Genomic DNA, 19,940 nt, shown 5'->3' with positions numbered 1-19,940 from the left:
ATGTATTATATCATATTCAACTAATTTCCTATGCTTGTACATTTAAGTAGCTGCCAATATTTTGTAATTCCCAATAATGAGGCAACAAATAACCTTGTACATATGTATTTTTGTATCATTGGTGATGTATCTTCAGGATAAGTTCTAAAAGCATAATTACTTGGTTAAGGGTAAATGCAGAGATAACTTTTATTAAATATTGTCAAATTTCCCTCCATAGATTTGAAGCAGTTTGTATTTCTACCAGTCATGTATTAGAGAGACAGCCTGTTTCCTACAGCTTTGCCAGTATAGGTTCAAGCTTTTGAACTTTTGCCAGTCTGGTAAGTAAGAAATGGTTTCTATGTGTGGTTTTGTTTGCACTCCTTTTATGTATGAAGTTGAATATCTTTCCATACTTTAAGTACCATTTTTATATCTCTTTGTATTAGTTGTTCATATCTTCTGGATATCTTTCAATAAGATATTAATTAATTTTCAGAAGTTTTTTTTGTTTTTGTTTTTGTTTTTTGAGACAGGGCCTGGCTCTGTTGCCCAAGCTGGAGTGCAGTGGCATGATCTCAGCTCACTGCAGCCTCAGGCTCCCTGGCTCAAGCATCCTCCCATCCCAGCCTTCCAAGTAGCTGGGACTACAGGCACATGCCACCACACCCAGTTAATTTTTGTATTTTTTGTAGAGATGGGGTTTCACCATGCTGCCCAGGCTGATCTTGAAATCCTGGGCTCAAGCTATCTGTCCATGCTATCTGCCCTCCCAAAGTGCTGAGATTACAGGCATAAGCCACTCTGCCTGGCCAGAAGATATTAGGGAGTGCTATGAACTAAATTCTGTCTCCCCCAGATTCATATGTTGAAGCTCTAACCTCCAATGTGATGGTAATTGGAGATGGAGCCTTTAGGAGGTAACGAAGTTTAAATGAGATCATAAGGATGGGGCCCTAATCCAATACAATTAGTGTCTTTATAAGAAGTGACATCAAAGAATGCTCTTTCTAGCCCCCCAATAAACCCCCACACACCCATGCAAAAAATGCTATGTGAGGACGAAGCAGTTGTCCACAAGCCAGGAAGAAAGGAAGAAAGCCCTTTCCAGAAACCAAACACTGGTGGAACATTGAGCTTGGACTTTCAAGCCTCCATAACTGTGAGAAAATTAGTTCCTATTGTTTAAGCCACTCAATCTATGGTATTTTGTTATGGCAGCCCAAGAAGACTAAGGCAAGGACAATAGTTTTTATCTGTGCTATATTTTGCCAATGTTTTCTTCCATTTTGTCATTTGACTTTTTAATGGTGTTTTTCTTTCCATGCAAAAGTTTTGCTTTTTTTTTTTTTTTGGGACAGAGTCTCACTCTGTCGCCCAGGCTGGAGAGCAGTGGCGCGATCTCGGCTCACTGCAAGCTCCACCTCCCGGGTTCACGCCATTCTCCCGCCTCAGCCTCCCTAGTAGCTGGGACTACAAGCGCCCGCCACCACGCCCGGCTAATTTTTTGTATTTTTTAGTACAGACGGGGTTTCACCGTGTTAGCCAGGGTGGTCTCAATCTCCTGACCTTGTGATCCGCCCGCCTCGGCCTCCCAAAGTGCTGGGATTACAGGCGTGAGCCACCGCACCTGGCCGTTTTGCTTTTTTTTTTAAGGAAGGAATATTACAGTACTCTTTTCAGATAATTGTGGATATTGTTCTCTGATTCTATACTAAAACTCAACAAGTGGTCAGCTCTTAAAGGTTAGTAGTTATGTAGAATCTGAAAACATCACTAACTTTTCATACTCTGTGACATTAAATCCATCGGTTTATCTTGCACTTTGAATGGATCTTTTTACCTATGCATAATTTTGTGACATCTTACATGGGTCATTTGAAAAATATTGGCTAGCTAACTTATGCAGATTTTCCAAATGTTGACTGATTTTAAAATACAACATCAAAAAGTCATATTAGTTAACACTATCACCAATCTCATCAGAAAAGTATTGGGAAGCTGTCAAGTTCATGGTAGCAGATACAAGCTTTTAAATTTTAAAAAATTTGTTTCATTAAGGACATTCTCAGTTCTTAAGTGAAACTAACACTCTCTTTCTGTGGTGTGTGTGTGTGTGTGTGTGTGTGTGTGTGTGTGTGTGTGTGTGAGATGAGGTGAAGAATTCTATGGCTGCTAGTACAGTTTGGGGCCACTGCCTTGACTCATGCTAAGCCTCCAGCTATTTACCCAACAATGCTTTTGTGTCATCAGTGCAGATGTCAACACAGTGAAAAAGGCAAATGAGGCTTTCATATTATTATGAAAATAGTTTTGGTCACAGATCACTTGAAAGGGTCTCAGGGACCCCATTGTGGTCTGCAGAGCACATTTTCACTGCTCTACAGGTATCCTAAATCCTTCAACCTGTATTTTCAATCCAGTTCTAACCTCAGGGGAAAAAATATTTAAATTCAGAGATGCCTCTAGGCATGAAAAGAGGTAATACAGTCCTCTTCCTTCCTACAAACTCTCTAGGATGGTTTCCCATGGCCCCTTTGTTATTCCTCATTAAGGGTAACTACTCACCTGTACTTATCTTAAACAAGGGCATTAACTGCCTCAGCTTCCTGACTAGATGCAGTTACAGGCCCGCATACCACGCCCAGCTAATTTTTGTATTTTTAGTAGAGATGGGGTTTCACCATGTTAGCCAGGCTGGTCTCAAACTCCTGACCTCAAGGGATTTGCCCACCTTGGCCTGACAGAGTGCTGGGGTAATAGGCGTGGGCCACTGCGCCTGGCCAATCTTTAAAAATATTCATAACATCTTTATAATAGAGTTGGAAACAGCCTGAAAGAAGAAAAAATAAGGAGTTGGTTAAATTAACGATGGCCAAGCTTGTGGATATTGTGAAGCAGTAGTTCTCAAAATGTAGTCTGCAGTCCCCCGAAGGTCACTGAGACCCTTCCTGGAGGTACAAAAAGTCACAACTATTTTCATGTTAACATTAAGACATTATTTGACTTTTCCCTGTGTTGATCTTTGCACAAATGGTGCAAGAACAGTAGTGGATAAAACTGCTGGCGACTTACCACAAATCAGCAATGGCATCATCCCATACTCATCATCATTTTATTATTTATTATGAAGCACTCACAGCCAAAAAAAAAAAAAAAAAAAAAAAAAGAGAGCCAGTTTAACTTAAGAATGTCCTGATGAAACAGTAAAAAGCATTAATTTTATTAAATCTGACCCTTTGGAACACATTTTAAAATATTCCACGTGACCAAATGGGAAGTACGCATACAGCATTTCTACTAGGATGGTCATCTTGAGGAGAAGCACGTGTGCAATTGAGCTGTGAGTTAAACTAGCTGCTTTTCTCATGGAACACTAGCTTTTCTTGAAACAAGGGCTGACAGCAAGGCTGCATTACACTTTCATGGCCCTAGGCACTTTTACCTTCATGAGTCCCTTCTTCTATAAAACAATAGAAAAAAAATTTTACAACCGTGTTCGTAGAAAGACAAATATATTAACATTATATATTAAAATATTTTCTTCAATATAAAAGAACTAACTTTCATTTTCTTCTGATTTTAAAAGAAATTAAGACATTTTCGTGGGCCCATAAAGTCCTGGGGGCCTGAGTACTGTTTCTAATGGAGAAGCTACACCTGACAGACAAACTATGGGTATTCAGAATTGGGTGTACGTAGGGCTGAATACTCCACGAGGCACAGTTTTAATATACAATATTAATTTATTTGTCTTTATACCAGTGCAGTTGTCTTTTTAGTGGAGGAAAGGGCCCATGCAGGCAAAAATGCCTATGGCCCATGAAAGTCATAATGTGGTCCTTTGTTTGTGGTAGACATTTTCTTGAAAATGAATGAAATGAACCTGTCATTTCTAGGAAAATCACTGTGACATTATGTTGTCAGTGATAAACTTGAGCTTTCAAGCAGAAATTACAATTTTGGGAAACTCGTATCTGCCACCAAGAGCTTGACAACTTCCCAATACTCAAAAACCTTCAGATGAGATCAGTGGTGCTATTAATAGATGTGATTTTCTAATATTGTACAATGAAATGTGTTTACATTTGTAAGATCCGTATAAATCAGTGAACTGATATTTCCCAAATGATCAATGTATGATTTTACCAAATTATGCATAGCTAAAGGACCCAGTCAAGATATAAAATAGGCCAATGGATTTTAATGTATTAACTGAGTTCAAAAGTTTATTGATTTTTTTTTTCAGGTTCTACATTGCACTTAACCTTTAAGAAACGACTCCTTGCATTTTGGTGTGGTATGAAAAAAGAACATCTGTAATTATCTGAAAAGGCGATTAAAATCCTCTATTCTTTCCCATATACATATCTACATAAGGCTGAATTTTCTTCACATACTTCAAACAAAACAACATATAGTGACCGACTGAATGCAGGAGGAGGCATGAAACCAGCTATCTTCTATTACACCAGACATTCAAGAGCCGTGCAAAACTGTAAAACAATGCCACTCTTCCCACTAATTATTTTTGTTTGGAAAGTATAATTATTTTTCTAAAATACATTATTTATGTAATATAATTTCTTTCCATGTTAACATTTTTAAAATAAATTAATAAATATTTACTTTTTCTCAGTTTTTATTTCTAATAAAGCAAATATTGATAGATGTAACCTATAAAACAAAAGCTCTTCAGGGTTCTCAGTAATTTTTAAGAGGGTCAAGGGAAACCCAAACAGTTCCAGTAATGTTATTGTAGAACAACTACCCAGTAAAATGCTCATAAAGAACCATTAAGTTTAAAGTGCAGGTGACAATCACTAAATAGAGTAGAAACTCTGTATGTTTAATGTTAAGTGGATATAGATAAAAAGGCTGGAATGGGAGCAGGCTGTTCTCTCCTAGCAATGAATGTAGAGTGAGTTTTATTTTTTGAGCATTTTTATTTTTCATGTTTTCAGAATGAGCATAGCTTTGTCATTGGAAAAAAATAAAAAACCTTTAACAGAAGAAGAAGCAATAGCAGCAGCAGCAGCTGGTACCCCTCTCTGAGCCAGATTAGGGGAGGAGACAGGTCACCGAAGTGGAAGAACAGGACACACAAAGCGCAGGAGGAGAGAGGGGAGAGAAGGTGGAGGCTTCTGGAGAAGGATGAGGTCAGAGCTGCTGCACTGAACAGCTCCAGAGGACAAAGGTCCTAGTGTGTTCTATGAGAATGGCACGCTGTAGAGGGGCATGGAGGTGGGGCCGCCCCAAGATCAGCTCTTGGAGGAGTGTAGACTTTAATTCCACCTGGTGGTCCCTACAGAACGGAGAGTCCTTGCCCAAAGGCACAGAGAAGGATGGAACAACAATGTGGTGTGTGGGGGAGGGTCTCTGCACCTTTCCTGACATCTTTTCTTCGGGAGATCCTCATAGAACCATAATGCTTTGTTTTGGGACCAGAAGCATCATAAGCATCATCATTTTTCCAGCTTCATCTCCTGTTACTTTCCCCTTCACCCATTCTACTCCAACCTCACACTCGCTCTGTCTTGACTATTTTGGACACACTCCTACCCCAGCCTTTGCACTTGCTATTCCTCATGCTCGGCGCAGTTCTTCCCCAGACATCCACACGGCTTGCTCCCTCAATTTCTTCAGGCTTTAAATGTTACTTTCTCATAGAGGCCTTCTCTTGTATTTGAGCCTCACTCTTATCTCACACTTCCTATTCCCCTTCTCCGCCTTATTTTTCTCCACCCCATGGAGACCCTCTGACACATTCTCCCGTTTGTCTGTCTTTCCCCCACGAGACTGCAAACTACAGGAGGGCAGAGATTTCTGCCTGTTCTCTTGGCTGTTTCATATCCAGCACCCAAATCGATGTATGACACAAAATACGTTCTCAGTACTTAATCGAATTAACGAATGCATGAATGGCAGGTATTGGACATTGTTTTGCAAACTCTTAAAGTAAGGTGTAAAGCATCCCGGTGAGGTGGAGGTTACTGCCGCTGCGATTCCCGCGCAGCCTGAGGACTGGGGGGTGGGGGTGGGGGTCTCTAATTACCTCCATAATCCCCAGTAGCGGCACTTTAAACTTCACATCAACCCTGAGGGATGTGTATTATTATCCAAATTTAGTTCACAGCTGGATGGAGAAGTGGCTTCCGGCTCCACACTTTGGAGGGAGGGGAGTAGAGGGCAGGCCCCCATTTAAGTACCCGGGATGGGGCACCAATGCCTTCAGGCGGTAAACCAATTTAGGAAGACGTGGCGGGCTTTGTGGCGGCTCCTCCTCTTTCGGCCTGTCCGCAGTTTTTAAAAAACGTGTGTGATGATAAGGAATCACTGTCTACATTAGTAATTCCCAACTTGGGTCCGAAAGTGAACTTTTGCTGAAGCGAAGTAGCTAACCGCTTCCATGTGCAAGGCAGGTTCCAGACTTCGGGGTGAGGAGGATTAACTGAAGGACCCCAGGGGAACCGGGTGCGCAGTAATTGATCTTGGGGCAGACCAGGGCTTGGCGGTGGCCTGTATCTAAAGACAGCGGGGTCTCTGAGGCGGGGCAGGGGGGAGTTGGCATTGACTGGGGAGGGAAGAGCGATCGCTGGTAACAGCCATTGTGCCTTCCCACTGGGTTAGTGGGAAGGTTCCTAAAGATGCCGTGGCAGCGACAGTCCCGTGCTCAGAGCCAGGCACACAGTAGGCGTTCACTCGAGACGCAGAGTCTGGGACGCGCCCTGAAGAAGCTCCTCTCCAGGGGCCTGGCCCTTCCCAAGGACTGGGCTCTGGGCGTCCCCGGGGTCATGGGTCAGACCTCGCGTCCGGGGTGCGGGCTGGTGCCTGGGCGCAGAGCGGCCGGCGTCAACGGGTAGGGCGCGGGCCCGGGGTCAAGGCCGGGGCGCCGGGCGGCACGGGCGCGGAGGCCGGACGCTCGGGGCCGCGAAGGGATGTGACGAGCGGCGCGCTGTGCATTGTGGGAAGCCGGCCGCGAGGACTGGTTCCAGTTCACTCGGCAGCGGCGCCGGGCGGAGGGGGAGAGCGCGGGCCGCGCGGGCGGGAAGCGAAGAGGCGGGCGGGCCAGCGAGGAGCGCGGAGAGAAAAGGCGCGAGCGGCCAGGAGGGCTCAGGCCGAGACACCTTGCAGCTGCCGCCGCCGCCACCGAGCCGCCGCGTAAGTGCCGCGCGGGCCCCCTTGCCGCACTCCCTGTCCCCGCCGCTCGGGTCCGGCCGCGGGTGCCCGGGAGCGGCCCGGCCTGGCGCGCACCGGTGTGGTGCGGGCCGGGCTCGGGCCGCCGGGTTCGGTGTGGCCCACGCCGGGTCCTCGCGCGTGCACTACGTCCTCCCAGGCCTTGTCGGGCCGCGCGGGATTCCCTTTGGTTTTGTTCAAAAAAGAAACCTGGAAACCAACTTCTCTTCGAAACGCATCCCCCTGCCCGCGCCTGGGCGCTTTTGTGGGAAAAAAGCGGTGCTGGCGCCTACCCTGGCGACCCTTCCTGGGGCGGGCTCACGGGCCAGGCCCGAGGCCGCAGGAGGCCCCGCGGCGCTGGCTAGGCAGTCTGGGCCTGGGCACCCGGGAGCTGCTGTGAGCAGAGTTGTACTTGGTGAGGCCCCCGCCGGCCCGCGAGTTGCCGGCCCCGGCACAATAAGTCGGGCCCGAGCCCCGGGGGGCCGAGGTGTAGGCGTCTGGCTCGCTATCTGCAGGGAGGGGAAGGCGGGGGCTACTCGCGGGATTGAAGCCGGGCTGGTGCGGGGGACCGGGTTGGGGAGTGGTCCAAGGATGGGCTGGAGAGGGGCCACGGGAACCCCCGCTGCTCCCGATTGTCTCGGTATCAGCCTTTTGTTTGCTTTGTGGTAGGAAGGGTTTGCTTTTTTTAAAAGGTAACTCCGGAAGGCTGTAGGCTTCCCCGGGTGGAGAAGGCCAGCAGGAAAGAGCCTCGCTGGGGGTGGGGTGGAGTGGGGAGGTGAGTGTGCAGGATGCTGCTGGCAGTGTCACCTGACAACAGGTGTGCGACATGGCGCTCCCTACCCCCACTCCTGCAGGGGCCACAGATCACTCAAGGAGTTGGTCAGTACATTGCTTGAAAGGTTCTTTTAGACAAGATGTTAGGGGAAATGTTTCTGAGTTTCAAAGTGAGAGACTTCTGTACAAACAACTGGGACAAACCTTGAATTCAACAATTACAATGACTATAAAGGCCTTGTAAGATTTTAATGACCCAGTAAACAGCACATAAGAATAGACAATTAGAGGGGGCACTCCTGCTAGCTTCCCTCTTTTCTTCCACCTTTGTGGTTTGAGGTTTTACCGTTAAAGTAGGGGGTAAGGGAAGTGTTTTGTTCCAAAGCTCCCTGCTCCAGGGAGTCGGGCATTTTTTAACAGTCTTAGGTTTGAATGGGAGACTCGAGTTGTAAATTAGGTGGAATTCACCTACTGCAGGCCACCTTTAGGCTACTAGCCTGTTGTCAGAGGTGTTAACTCTGAAATGGACACCTCTTGCCTGCAACTGGAATTAATACCCATTGTACACATTTAACTAGAGTTGGGCAGCAGCATCTCAGTCTTGCACAAGAGACTCTCTGATGAGGATGAGTATGTTTTCAAACTTATTTTTTCTTAAACACAACAAAACTCTTGAAAGACTTCAAATTCTTCCCCCTTCTAGTTTTACAAGGAGAGAGAAATCTTTCCAGTCTGTTCTTTGGCTTCGATCTGTCACCATTGTTAATGCTGATCCCTAGATAAGGCATTAAGAGGGTTGTCTAAATGAAAATTGTTTGAGGCAGGCCTTTAGAAGGAGGCATAATTTAACTCACATTTTATTAAACTTTAAGAATTGTCTGGAACTTCACATGTGACATTCTAGTATACAACCATGCCACTGGTTTAGTTTTTACCAAATGGGCCAGTGTCAGGGAGTGACACATCTCCATCTGATGTTTCTTCTGGTCCCTGAGAGAGGCGAACTTGAGGAGCGCCTCGCATTCCTTCCCCACTGAGAAGCTCAGAGGGCATGTGTTCTGGGACCTGCCTTCAGAGCTAATGCGGCCCCAAGTCACCTAAAGGAGATTTATTTAAATAAAAGCATAAACTGAAAACCTCAAGCCGAAGAACCCAACAAGACTCTATATGTGTTGTTCATCAGAACTGCAACAGCCTCTGGTTTTATTTGAGTGTCCCCAAGGATTTGTGACAGCCTTTTCAGAGCCCCATTCCTAGAACATGGGCTGGGAAGGGGCAGGAGTGATTGGGGCCCAGATCTCTGTGGGTCCTTCCCATATTCTGTAGGTTTAGAGGTCTTTTGGGCCCTGCCTCAGTGCTTACAAGTGAGCCTGAGTGAGTCAACTCTTCATTCCAAAGAGTTGTATAGCTTGTTTGCTTGGACCAAACCTGTCAGGTCAGTGTCTCAGAGTCTTTCCATAAAGATTTCCTGAGAATCAGCTCCTGTTCAGGCACTGGGGACACAGCCGTGATTAAGAAATGCCTAGCCCCTACCTTGGGGGAGCTGACTTTGGGAGAAGGCAGGCAAGTAGCTGTTGTAAAATCAGTGCAAAAGGCCCCACGTAGCCCCCCAGCAGGTACAGTAACCTAGCCAGGAGTGAGCCCTTATCTGGCTTGGAAAGGTCAAGCAGGAGATGGCTGGGCAAAGGAGGGCAGATGGGGACAAGTGTTTGAGGCCTGGGGAACCCCATGTGTGCATCTTAGAAGAAAAGAACAGAGGTCATGTGGGGAACTGCCAGAGGCTCGGGATGGCTGAGTCCTGGTGCGGAGTCAGGTGAGGCTTCAGGGAGGGACAAACAGGACAAATCACAAAGGATTCTGGTCAGACCCACACTTTATCCTAAGAGCAACTGAAGGGTTTTGAGCAGGAGAGAGACAGGATCAGGTGTTCTTTTTATTCTTATTGGGAACACGTCTACTCGGCAAATAATGAGTGGATTCTACATGCTAAGCCTTATCAGAGTCCTGTCCTGTGAAGCCCACACTTTAACTTTTCTCTAAATAGCCTTCCGTGAGACTGGTTATCTTAAGAGTTTGGCACAACCTTTAAAAGAGAGAGGAGTATGTAGAAAAGTTTTTTTGTAAAGCAGGCAGGCAGTAACTTGCTGTTAAAATGTAGCAAGCTGCACAGTTCCTTCAGTGCATCTCGGGAAGCGCATCACCGAATGGGTTTGCAGAGGTGAAATTTCAATCCCAGACTAGCTTCCCCAAAACTGTTTCTTGCTTGTGGTAAATGACATTTGTGTTTGTGTTTTGTTTCTTCCTGCCACTGAAAACATAACAGGAGTAAGACACATCTGCTGGAACAAAATGCATGGTTTATGATTTATTTACTATCTCAGTTGGTCTGTCTCTTCTGTTTGCAGTCCCCTAGTTCACTGAGAGTGGACTGTAGGTTCTTTAATCATCTGGCTCACTTTTTGATATGGTGTTTTATGAATGGAGAGAGATATTTTTCCTGATTGGCTAGAATACTAGAACAGGTCTCTGATCCAAGCCAATCAGAGTGCAGCTTGTGAACCCCAGCTCTGTGAGCAATGGTTGTCTAGTATATCCACATGCCTCTGGGGACATGACAGCGGGTGACACCGTTAATCATTTGGTGTGATAGGAGTAAACGGAAGAGGGAAGAGAATGCTGTAAACAGGATTAGTGTCTTGTCCTTCAGAATTAAGTTTCTCAGGTTGGCCTTTGTGATTGGAGTTGATGGGAAGGTGACAAATGCATGTGGATATGCGGGCATTTATCCAGCTGCCAGAATGGATGGCGTGGTTCTTCCTCATCAGCAGTTATTTGAGCACTGATAGCTCAGACTCCTCTATCCTCAGGGGCTGGAGATAGGGCTCTTTGACTAGCAACTCCCCAGCAGTTCTAATCAATATTGCATGGGATCAATAGGCATGTATTCATTGCTTAGATAATAAAATACTTCATGATTGACTATTCCAGCGGTTTCATGAGTGCCCTGATTGTTTAAGGGGTTTCTGTGCTGTAGCTTAAACAGGAGTCAATCTCTTATAGATGTGAGGAAGGTTAAGTATTTTCCTGCAGTCTATGGTACTGAGCCAGAGGCAGGAGGAGAGGTCACTGGAACCATAGAACTGTCACAGAGTCATAAGGCCTCAGTGTGCCTTATGCCCAGCTATCAGGGCAATTGGAGTGTTCCTTTCCTGAGAATCCCCAAGGTAGCTCTACAAGCTCCCTGAATTTTGAGTGTCTGGGCTCCTATAGGGATTTTGCCAGGTGTATGTACATGAATGTCCAAGAGAAGGTCTCTGATTGGTGTCCCACTAGCCATAGCTCCCAGTCCTGTGGGCTTTGGAAATGCTGCCCTCTCCTTTCTCCCTATCCACTGTCAGTGCCAACTAATCAGCTACCTTGTAGCTGGCATGTGCATGTCTACCGGGTGCCAGGCAGGGTGGTGGGTGCTTGGAGATACAGTGGTGAGTAGAGCAAATTGGTTCGTTTCATCAAGACAGACAGGTAAATAGGCAATGATGATACCATGCACTGAGTGCTAAGAATGGGATAGCTGGTTTCAGAACTTATATGTAAATGGGATCTAGAGTGACTGGCAATCATGATGGAAGGAAGGGCTGGAAACTGCATTTGCAGAGTACTGTATATAAGACTAAGAAAAATAATTGAGTATATTAAAGAATAGGGGCAGCCTGAGGGAGATTGTGAGGCACTTTTAGCTGGGCCCTGGGTCTGCAGCTGCCACATCCATTGAGGGAACTGGGAGGGAGAAATTCATCCCGGTGGATCTCTGGTTGTTGCAAATAGAGAGATGTGTTGGAGGTCAACAGGGCCTGTGCACAAGGTTGGAGTCTGGACATGCAGCTGCCCCAAACTAGACTGTGACTGACAGAAGGCATGGCCATGGCAGGAATGCAGAAGAGGGAGCACATTGATGGATCATTGCCAGGGAAGGTATTGGGACCAGTAGGCAGGATTACTCCAGACAAAGGGCTAGAGAGATGTTCAGACTGAGCATGCTGGGTGTGCTGAAGGTGCCAGTGGGAATGAAGGTGGTTTGCAGTGCAGGGAGCAGCCTGTTAGGATGCCTGCTGGGAAGGGATAGGAGGGTGTGGCAGGGCCTCCATGGCACTTTGGTTCTTTGCCCCTACTGCCCCTCCTAGTAGTACACAGCTTGTTGTTCTCATGTCCACCTTATTCATGGGGTCTACATAGCCAGCCTTCTAATTAGTCCTGTGCTAAAAGAACTGACTGCGTTGCTCCAGTCGCATCTCGATTGCTGAGGGGCCTGTGGTCAGACTCTGTTGCTTCTCACTGTAGCCTGACTCATCTCTCCATCCAGCTCCTCTATAAAAGTTTGTCTTTGGGTAAGCTTTGAGGTTTTATAAACAAAGTTAATGTTTATTGTGATTTATAATTGGAAGAGTTGCAGAAATAAAGACCACAGAGATCCCTTCAAGATCAATCACAGAACCTTCATTTTCTAGGCCAATAACAGCCAAAAGGGCAGTCAAGCTAATGTGCAATGATGAACAGACACAGTTGCCTGAGGACCTATCATTGTTTTCAAAGCATGCAGAGCCATGAGTGAAGCCTCCTGGTTTACTGAAGGAAGGAAGAACACATCTTTGTCAAGTTTGACCAGATAGTATAGCTGTTCTCCTGTGACCAGCTTCACTGCCCTGCAGAGGTGATGAGTGCTTAGGAAGCTGCTTTGTCTATGATGTAGGGCTGTCTGTTTCTCAAACAAGGCTGGATGCAGAACATGGGTCAAACAGGGCCCAACAGGTTTTGGGTGGTAACTCATTCTGGGGTTAGGGTCAGCGTTCAGATTGGTTTATCATGTGACAGAGACTGGCTGTTTCCTCTTTTCTTCTGAGTAAATAGCCAGAGTACATTTCCCAACCTCTCTTGCAATTAGTTGTGGGCATGTGACTAAGTTCTAGTTGATGGATCATGGTCAGAAGTGATGTGCCCCATTTGCAGGCCTGGCCCCTTAAAACCCTCATAGGTTATTATCCATGGTCTTTTTCTTTCCATGGCAACCCTGGGAATCATGTATTGAAGATGTGAGAGTAACAAGATGGGAGGCATCTGGATCCATGAATCACTATGTGGACAAGAAACACCAGCCAATCATGGAAACCCATTTTGGATTTTTCGGGAGTGAGAAATAAGTTGTAGAGACTTATCTGTTACAGCAGCTAGCAATGTCTTCAGCGCAAATGTCCAAGATCTGTTCTGCAAGAAGATGGCCTTTTTTCATCTTATTCACATTATTGTTTTTGTTAACTACTGAGAACTTGCCCAGTGAGTGAGTATCAGGCCCTTACATGGATGCTTTGATTCACTTCTGCCACCAACTCTTTGAGGCCCTTACTAGCATCATCTCCACTTGAAAGATAAGAAAATAGGTTCAGAGGGGTTAAATCACTTGCTCAAAAATGCACAGCCAGTAAGCGGCAGAGCCATGGTTATAATCAGGTCAGTCTGGCTTTGGACTTCTAGTTTTTAATTATAATGCTTAATTGCCATTGGCCTCACAGTCACTCTCCCCCTTGTCATGGGTGCCTGACTGGAGCTACCCACACCTGCATAAACCTCTGAAGAGCAGGATGGACCTGGCACATTCATGGGTTTATCTGGAGACTGCACAACTATGAGTTGGTTTTCAAAAGGGTGTTTTGAAAACCACCACACATTGCTGGATGTCATAAGGCTTCATGGCTTAGTCAGAATTCTTTCATAGCTGTGGCTGCAGCTTGGGGAACTATAGTTAGAAGTGCAGGAAGAACATGGGGAGGGATAAAGTACAGAATCTCTGCAAGACAACCCCATTGGTGGGGAGACAGACTTGAGGCCGCTTTATTGGACAGGAGCCTGACTCAGAATGAGAAGTGAAGATGTTCTTCTGCCAGCAGGGTGGCACTGGAGGAGCTGTGATATTTCAGACCTTTCTTGGGATGAGTTGACTACAGTGCTTCACATCGAATGGCTTGCAGTTCAGTCAAGTTGGAGAGGCATGTGCTGGGATATATATACTATGGGAACATGGAGCAGTGAGCAATTCCAGGCTGTGGTCATGTCCACAAAGCCTCCATGGCAGAGGGAGGCTGTGAGTGTCAGTTCAGCAAGTTGACAAGAGGACAAAGGGCATTCCAGGCAGGAGAACTGCGTGTTCAGAGACATCCTTAACACAGTGTGACAGGCTCAAGAAGTCAGGGGTGGCCTGAGGCATGTGAGCCAGGGCTGGGGTGACAGGAAGCAGTGCCACCAAAAGTAGCTGAAGTATGCTGTTTGTGGCTAGCTCAGAAGCTCAGGCTGACAGGGAATCATCAGAGTAGGCAGAGCTGCTTCTGGTGTCCATGGATGAAGACTGGTGCGGTTGAGAATAGGTCAGAAGTAAAGAGGCTGAACCAACGCAGGGAGGGTGATGAGAAGAGGCCTGAGAGGTTCTGCAGGCGGTTCAGCAGAGCTTGGCTAATGCTTGGGTGCTGTGGGGTGGACAGAGAAGTCTGGGCCAGGTTCACTGCTGTTTGGCTAGTTTGGTGCATGACATTGCCACTGATGAGGCTGAGAGACCCAGAGGAGTTCAAGGCACCCATGGGACTTGTAAGTGGGCCCTTGCCATCAGCAGTCAGAACAGAGCTCTGAGGCTCAGCGGCCAGGTGTTGCACTGGCATAGAGACCTGGGAGTCACTGGCATGTTGATGTAAAGACTCAGCTAGAGTCAGAGGAGGGAAAGACAAGGAGCACCACTTTTAAGGAGTCAGCGTGTCTAGGACCTGCCAGGTCTCTGAGTGCTAACGGATCCTTTCTGGAGGAGACCACTGTCCAGTTCCCACATAGGCAGCCCCAGACATGCCCAGCAGGTCAGCTGGGAAACAAAGCTGAAGTCTGTGCTCTAGTAGGAAAAGGGCTGAGCTGCTGTTAATCATCACTGACCACAGGCCTCCCCTGCTGAAAGGGGGAGACATTCCGATTTAAAAGCTCAGTCCAAAGGCATCAGGTTGTTGGTCTGTGAAACACATTTGTAGTAAAGCAAAAGACTGCTAGGAAACCCAATGACAGCCTTGCCTGAAAACACAGGCACACATACATATACACATATCATTTCCTGCTCAGAGTGAGCACAGGCACCTTTTTGCAAGGAATGTTTTAAAATGGAGTTCATTGCAGCAAGGAAGGGATCCAACTAATTGTTTTGGAAAAACCCAGACCCTTCTGGGTCTCTCTAGCCCTCAGTGAGCAGTTAAGACTGGGTGCTCCTTGACAGGGCGCTCATGACAGAGGCCTTTACTCTTCTAACATCACTCCAGAGCCAGGGCCTCTGCCATCTTACCTCTGTTGGGCCTGTCTACACAGTAGCCCCAGAGTGCCCAGAATTCTGTTTTCTGTCCTCACAGCCATCTCTGTGGCTCATCCCAGATGATTTGAGATGCACCTGGGATTAGAGAGGTGTTAAGTGTGGACCGTGGCATGTCCTGACAATGTCCCTAGTATAGGTTGAGCATCAGAGTAACAGGGACTCCTATCCCTGTGGCCTCCAGTGGTCACAGCATTGACTGCTGGTGCTGGAAGGCCCCAAACACCATGGAGTGTGACGTCAGTTTATCAGTACATGGGAGACCTGCCCAGTTGGTTCAGTGAGCAAACATGTTCATAGGGAAGACTTTAGGGGGCCCCAGAACAGGCCAAGGCCCCTCATATCCCCTCTCCCAGCACCCTGCACTGGCCCTTTGAAGCATGCATTACGTTTATCTTTTAAATGACTAGGGGGTTATTTATTGTCTTTTTCCCCACCAGTTCCACAGGGACCACATCTGCCCAGCATAATACCTGAAGTGAATGCATAAATGAACAGGATGCTCCAAGTAAACATTCGAGACCTTGGATGGTGCTACAGTAGGAATACAGTTAGGGGCACCCCTCCACCCACCTGCAGTCTGATGGGAGAATGGGCACACGTGCATCAATGCTGTGGTGTGCAGCACATGGGGCCCTGAGGATGAAACAGCCAGATCTCAACATTTGGGAGGGCTGGCAGAAGGCAGAGGCAAGTGTGAGAGATAATGGAGGTCCCAGCCAAAGGGAACAGCTACTGCCCAGGCAGGGAGAAAAGAAGTGGAAGGGTATTTGGGGGGAACCTTGTGTGGCTCCCTGTTTGCTAGTTTAGACCACAGGTGGCCCAAGGCAAAGCTGGACATGTGTGCCAGGCCTAGATTTCTAGGGCATTACATGGCAGGCCAAGAGTCCTGGTTCTATCATGAGAATTGTGGCAGCCACAGAAAGCTTTCAGGCCAGGGCCGGGGCATGTTCAGGTGGGTGTGTACCCAGATTGCCCCACCCATGGGGTAGAGGGTGGATTAGAGGAGAGGGGGCTCTGGTAGGGAGACCTTTTCAGGAGACATTTGTGACCACTTGATTAAAATAGTGATGACCAGGATCCCATCACTGGAGGTGGAGAGAAAGAGCCCCACAAGAGGTGTAGAGGAGGGTTTTCCTCTGGACTGGGTGACTGGATGGGGATTGGGAGCAAGGAAGGAAAAAACACCTCTCTCTCTCTTCTCTAAAGATTGGCCCATCTGGTGGACTAGAAGTGCTCAGAGGGCCTCTTACTGCAACCTGACTATACACTGTACTGACTCCTGTAAGCTGTTCTTGCCTCTCACAGATAAAGAATCTAAAATAGAGACACTGCTTTCATCAGAGAATCTAGGTATCTGCCTTTACATCATCTTTTTAGGGGAGGGTGTCATAGCTGTTTTTCTTTTATGAAGCCTTTGGTAAGTTTATCAGCCCCAGTCTCAAGTGTATGAAAATGCAATTATTAAACAAGTGTATAGAATGTGGCCAAGAAATCCCATTTCCTTTTTCATCATGTGGCATAATGGCAAGGCACTTAAGTAAAATTGATGTCATGGTATAAATTGTGCAAAGCCAAGCCTTTCTTTTCAGGGATCAAACTGCTCCAGCGGAGTGCATCACCTGGACCCGGAGGGCCCTGCAGCTACAGACAGTGGCATCTGCAGGCAGGCCTGGGGCCTTCCAGGGGACTAGAGTGTACCTGGAAAGGGGACATGTGCTGTCCCCAGCCACCCTGACCGGTGTGCCTCTCGCCTTCACAGTGTGCTCACTGATCCGCCTCCAGGGCCACCGCCATGTCGAGCCGCGGTGGGAAGAAGAAGTCCACCAAGACGTCCAGGTCTGCCAAAGCAGGAGTCATCTTTCCCGTGGGGCGGATGCTGCGGTACATCAAGAAAGGCCACCCCAAGTACAGGATTGGAGTGGGGGCACCCGTGTACATGGCCGCCGTCCTGGAATACCTGACAGGTGAGTGTACCTCAGTCAACCCAGACACCACTGGCTTAAGATGCAGAAGTTCTCATAGTTCTCCAAAGACCACTTTTGTTTCTTTTATTTTGAAACAGCTCAAACCTACAGAAAAGTTACAAGAAGAGTACAAGGAACATTTTCACCTAGATTCTCTAGTTGTTAACATCTTGCCTCATCTGCCTTATCTCCCCTCATTGTGTGTGTGCATGCAGGCATATGTGTAGATATTTCTGTATTTATTTTTGGCTGTTACATAGTCCATTTTGAAATTTCCTCAGCTGTCCCAATAATGTACTTTATAATTTTGTTTGGTTTTCTTTCCTAATCCAGGATCCATTTCAGGATCATATATTGCATTTGACTGCCAGTTTGTTAGTCTTATTTAATTTTGAACAGTTTGCCAGCTTTTAAAAAATCTTCCATGACATTGATACTTTTGAAGAGTCCAGGCTAGTTGTTTGGCAGAATGTCCTCCAATCTGGGTTGGTTTCAGGATTAGATTCAGGATGAGCATTTTCTTAGGAGAATGGCATCAGAGATGCTGCATCCTTCTCTGTGCATCACGTCGGGAGGCACCTGACGTGGTTTGTCCCGTCACTGGAGATGTTCTGCTTGCTCATTCAGTTAAGGTGGTATCTGTTGGATTTTTGCACATCCTGTACCACGGTATTTCACCCAGTGGCTTCAGCAACCCTTGATGATCTTACCTGAATTTGATATTACAGTGGTGGTTATAAAATAGTGGGTTTTTTCATTTCTTGGTGGTTATAAAATAGTGATTTAAAAAATTTATTTCTGCATCTCTTAGTTGGCATTCTTTTGTAATAAAACCTTTCCCTGTGCCCTTCCTCTGTTTTTTTTTTTTTTTTTGAAGTATCAATGTTGGTTTACAGATTTTTTAAAATTTAGTAAGTTATATTCATTTCATTACTCGCTTTAATGGTCACATCACCTCAAATTTGATCTTCAAGCTGGTTCTGATATCCTTTTGCCATGTCTCCATCAGTTTCTGTACATTTCCTTGCCTTCTAACACAATAAGGTATTCCAGCCTTACCCTGGACTTCCCTTGCCCCAGTCTGGGACTCAGCCTTCTCTCCAAGGGGTCCTTGGTCCTGTTCACAGATACAATCTTATTTGTGGTTTCACAGCAATTGTGCAAGGCCAGCTGGGAAGGGAGGGAGACTAACCCCATTTTTAGTGATGAGAAAGCCAGGCCTCAAAGCATAAAGGACTTGTCTGGGGTTATATACAGCCTGCAAGGGGTTGAGAAGGGACCCAAATCCTGCTGTCCTGTCGTAATGCTTTCACTGTGTATTGCCTGAGACATGATCAGGTGGGTCTGATCAGGAAAGAGTACTCTGATTCTTGCAGCCACCTGTGCTACAGCCAGAAAGGACGACTCAGTAAGACAGGGTACCTCTCCCAAAGCGATACAACCAGGCAGCGGAAGGGCTGGGTTGCTTCCTGCACTCCCTGCTCTCTCAGTAAGGCAAGGCCGAGGGTTTCCCCATAGCAAACACAGTCATCAGGAAGGTAAAGTTTTTGTGTTCTGTTGAAAGCATCTGGGCATGAAAAGTAATAGTGTTAGATTTAAGTATTTGTACATATTTTGGGACTTCTGACTTTCTGCTTAGCAAAGACTCTTATAGGTGGCAGGCCTGGTAATGTGAACTAAGCATGATTCTTCTGTGTAGATGAGGAAACAAGCCCAGAACTTAGGTGACACACCCAGGAAAGCTATGTATAGCATTGGCAGTCATCCAGGGAGACTGGGAGAAGTTGCTAGATAGGAAACAGAAGACATTTTAGTTCTTGCCTAGTTAGTGTACGTGCTCTGTGACCTAGAGGAAGCCACCTAACTTCCCTGGACCCCAATTTCCTTACAACTCAAATGGAGTCAACTGTCCCTACTCCAACTCCAGGCTGCTGTGAAGGCCAAAGGTGCTGTGCACATAATGGGAAAGCTAATGTGCTACACAAACCCAGGCAGCCCCTGGCTCGCGAATGCCATGATGCCCATTCCTGGGGTGTTCACAGACACCATCATTAGGTCAAGTACAACCTCAGTGTCATTTCTTCCATCTAGCTTTCTCTTCTTTTTTGAAGGGCATGAATGGGGAATACCATTGCTTTGTCATATCTCAGGCAACTACTACCGGTGCTGCATAGAAATCTGTGTTTTCCTGGTCTGGGCATAGCTGGTTCTGAATCTGAGCCCAGTGCTCCTGAGGTGGATATCAGCAGTCCATTCCCATGGGGGCTAGAGACGTTGACTCAGTGGCTCACACATCCATCATCCCTATCCCCAGCTATTGTGGGTGTGTAGGAGAGGTCACAGCAGGGCATAGGACTGGCCAGGAGAGCCCATCACTATCACTGGAAAAGTAGCTCAGAGCAGATCCTTACTCTGGCATCAGCCACATCAGCTCTTGTATATTAAATAATAATATGTATTTTTAAATTTTATGAAGACCTTACAGCAGGGCTATAGTTGGCTGAATCTGAAGCATTTCCTCTGCCTGCATGCGGCACTGAGTCATTGGCATGACCATGCCTGCCCCTAACATGGAACCAGGCCCAATTGACCTTAGGAGGATGTTCTGAGCAGTTAATGCATGCCCAGTCACTGCTGTGGTTACTTATGTCCTGTTT

At 46.6% G+C, this 19,940-nt stretch overlaps 1 protein-coding gene across 32 annotated transcripts in view, besides 9 other annotated features; it reads left to right on the top strand.

Annotated features, from left to right (window-relative positions):
- Positions 2,234-2,800: an enhancer, noted in NCBI's record as "OCT4-NANOG hESC enhancer chr5:134739095-134739661 (GRCh37/hg19 assembly coordinates)". NCBI's record gives its function as "activates a minimal SCP1, AML or CMV promoter by ChIP-STARR-seq in naive H9 embryonic stem cells {active_cell/tissue: H9 hESC(naive)}" and the evidence as "EXISTENCE:reporter gene assay evidence [ECO:0000049][PMID:30033119]".
- Positions 5,717-6,222: an enhancer, noted in NCBI's record as "OCT4-NANOG-H3K27ac hESC enhancer chr5:134735673-134736178 (GRCh37/hg19 assembly coordinates)". NCBI's record gives its function as "activates a minimal SCP1, AML or CMV promoter by ChIP-STARR-seq in naive and primed H9 embryonic stem cells {active_cell/tissue: H9 hESC(naive and primed)}" and the evidence as "EXISTENCE:reporter gene assay evidence [ECO:0000049][PMID:30033119]".
- Positions 6,223-6,728: an enhancer, noted in NCBI's record as "OCT4-NANOG-H3K27ac hESC enhancer chr5:134735167-134735672 (GRCh37/hg19 assembly coordinates)". NCBI's record gives its function as "activates a minimal SCP1, AML or CMV promoter by ChIP-STARR-seq in naive and primed H9 embryonic stem cells {active_cell/tissue: H9 hESC(naive and primed)}" and the evidence as "EXISTENCE:reporter gene assay evidence [ECO:0000049][PMID:30033119]".
- Positions 6,223-7,088: a biological region, named in NCBI's record as "OCT4-NANOG-H3K27ac hESC enhancer GRCh37_chr5:134735167-134735672".
- The window catches only part of MACROH2A1 (macroH2A.1 histone), a 65,507-nt gene continuing 51,884 nt past the window's right edge, over positions 6,318-19,940 (top strand). For 24 of the 32 annotated variants that reach the window (NR_174493.1, NR_174484.1, NR_174486.1 and 21 more), the window contains exons 1-2: positions 6,974-7,143; positions 17,079-17,283. Coding sequence is in view for 13 of the 32 variants with exons in the window: in NM_001400404.1 (NP_001387333.1) it covers positions 17,112-17,283 (172 nt within the window). In the remaining 19 variants the exon portion in view is untranslated. Of the gene's footprint in view, positions 6,457-6,973; positions 7,144-17,078; positions 17,284-19,940 lie in introns of those variants that run through there. The other 8 variants (NR_174487.1, NR_174499.1, NR_174496.1 and 5 more) reach the window with 3 other exon arrangements.
- Positions 6,629-7,088: a silencer, noted in NCBI's record as "silent region_16376". NCBI's record gives its function as "represses an Ori minimal core promoter by ATAC-STARR-seq in GM12878 lymphoblastoid cells {active_cell/tissue: GM12878}" and the evidence as "EXISTENCE:reporter gene assay evidence [ECO:0000049][PMID:35858748]".
- Positions 7,099-7,268: a silencer, noted in NCBI's record as "silent region_16375". NCBI's record gives its function as "represses an Ori minimal core promoter by ATAC-STARR-seq in GM12878 lymphoblastoid cells {active_cell/tissue: GM12878}" and the evidence as "EXISTENCE:reporter gene assay evidence [ECO:0000049][PMID:35858748]".
- Positions 7,579-7,638: a silencer, noted in NCBI's record as "silent region_16374". NCBI's record gives its function as "represses an Ori minimal core promoter by ATAC-STARR-seq in GM12878 lymphoblastoid cells {active_cell/tissue: GM12878}" and the evidence as "EXISTENCE:reporter gene assay evidence [ECO:0000049][PMID:35858748]".
- Positions 10,452-10,541: a silencer, noted in NCBI's record as "silent region_16373". NCBI's record gives its function as "represses an Ori minimal core promoter by ATAC-STARR-seq in GM12878 lymphoblastoid cells {active_cell/tissue: GM12878}" and the evidence as "EXISTENCE:reporter gene assay evidence [ECO:0000049][PMID:35858748]".
- Positions 13,711-13,870: an enhancer, noted in NCBI's record as "active region_23170". NCBI's record gives its function as "activates an Ori minimal core promoter by ATAC-STARR-seq in GM12878 lymphoblastoid cells {active_cell/tissue: GM12878}" and the evidence as "EXISTENCE:reporter gene assay evidence [ECO:0000049][PMID:35858748]".

The sequence above is a fragment of the Homo sapiens genome, chromosome 5, assembly GCF_000001405.40.
Source record: "Homo sapiens chromosome 5, GRCh38.p14 Primary Assembly".
In the NCBI taxonomy this organism is placed as follows: domain Eukaryota; kingdom Metazoa; phylum Chordata; class Mammalia; order Primates; family Hominidae; genus Homo; species Homo sapiens.
Note: the sequence above shows the minus strand (reverse complement) of the source record. Positions and strands in the feature narration are given on the sequence as shown.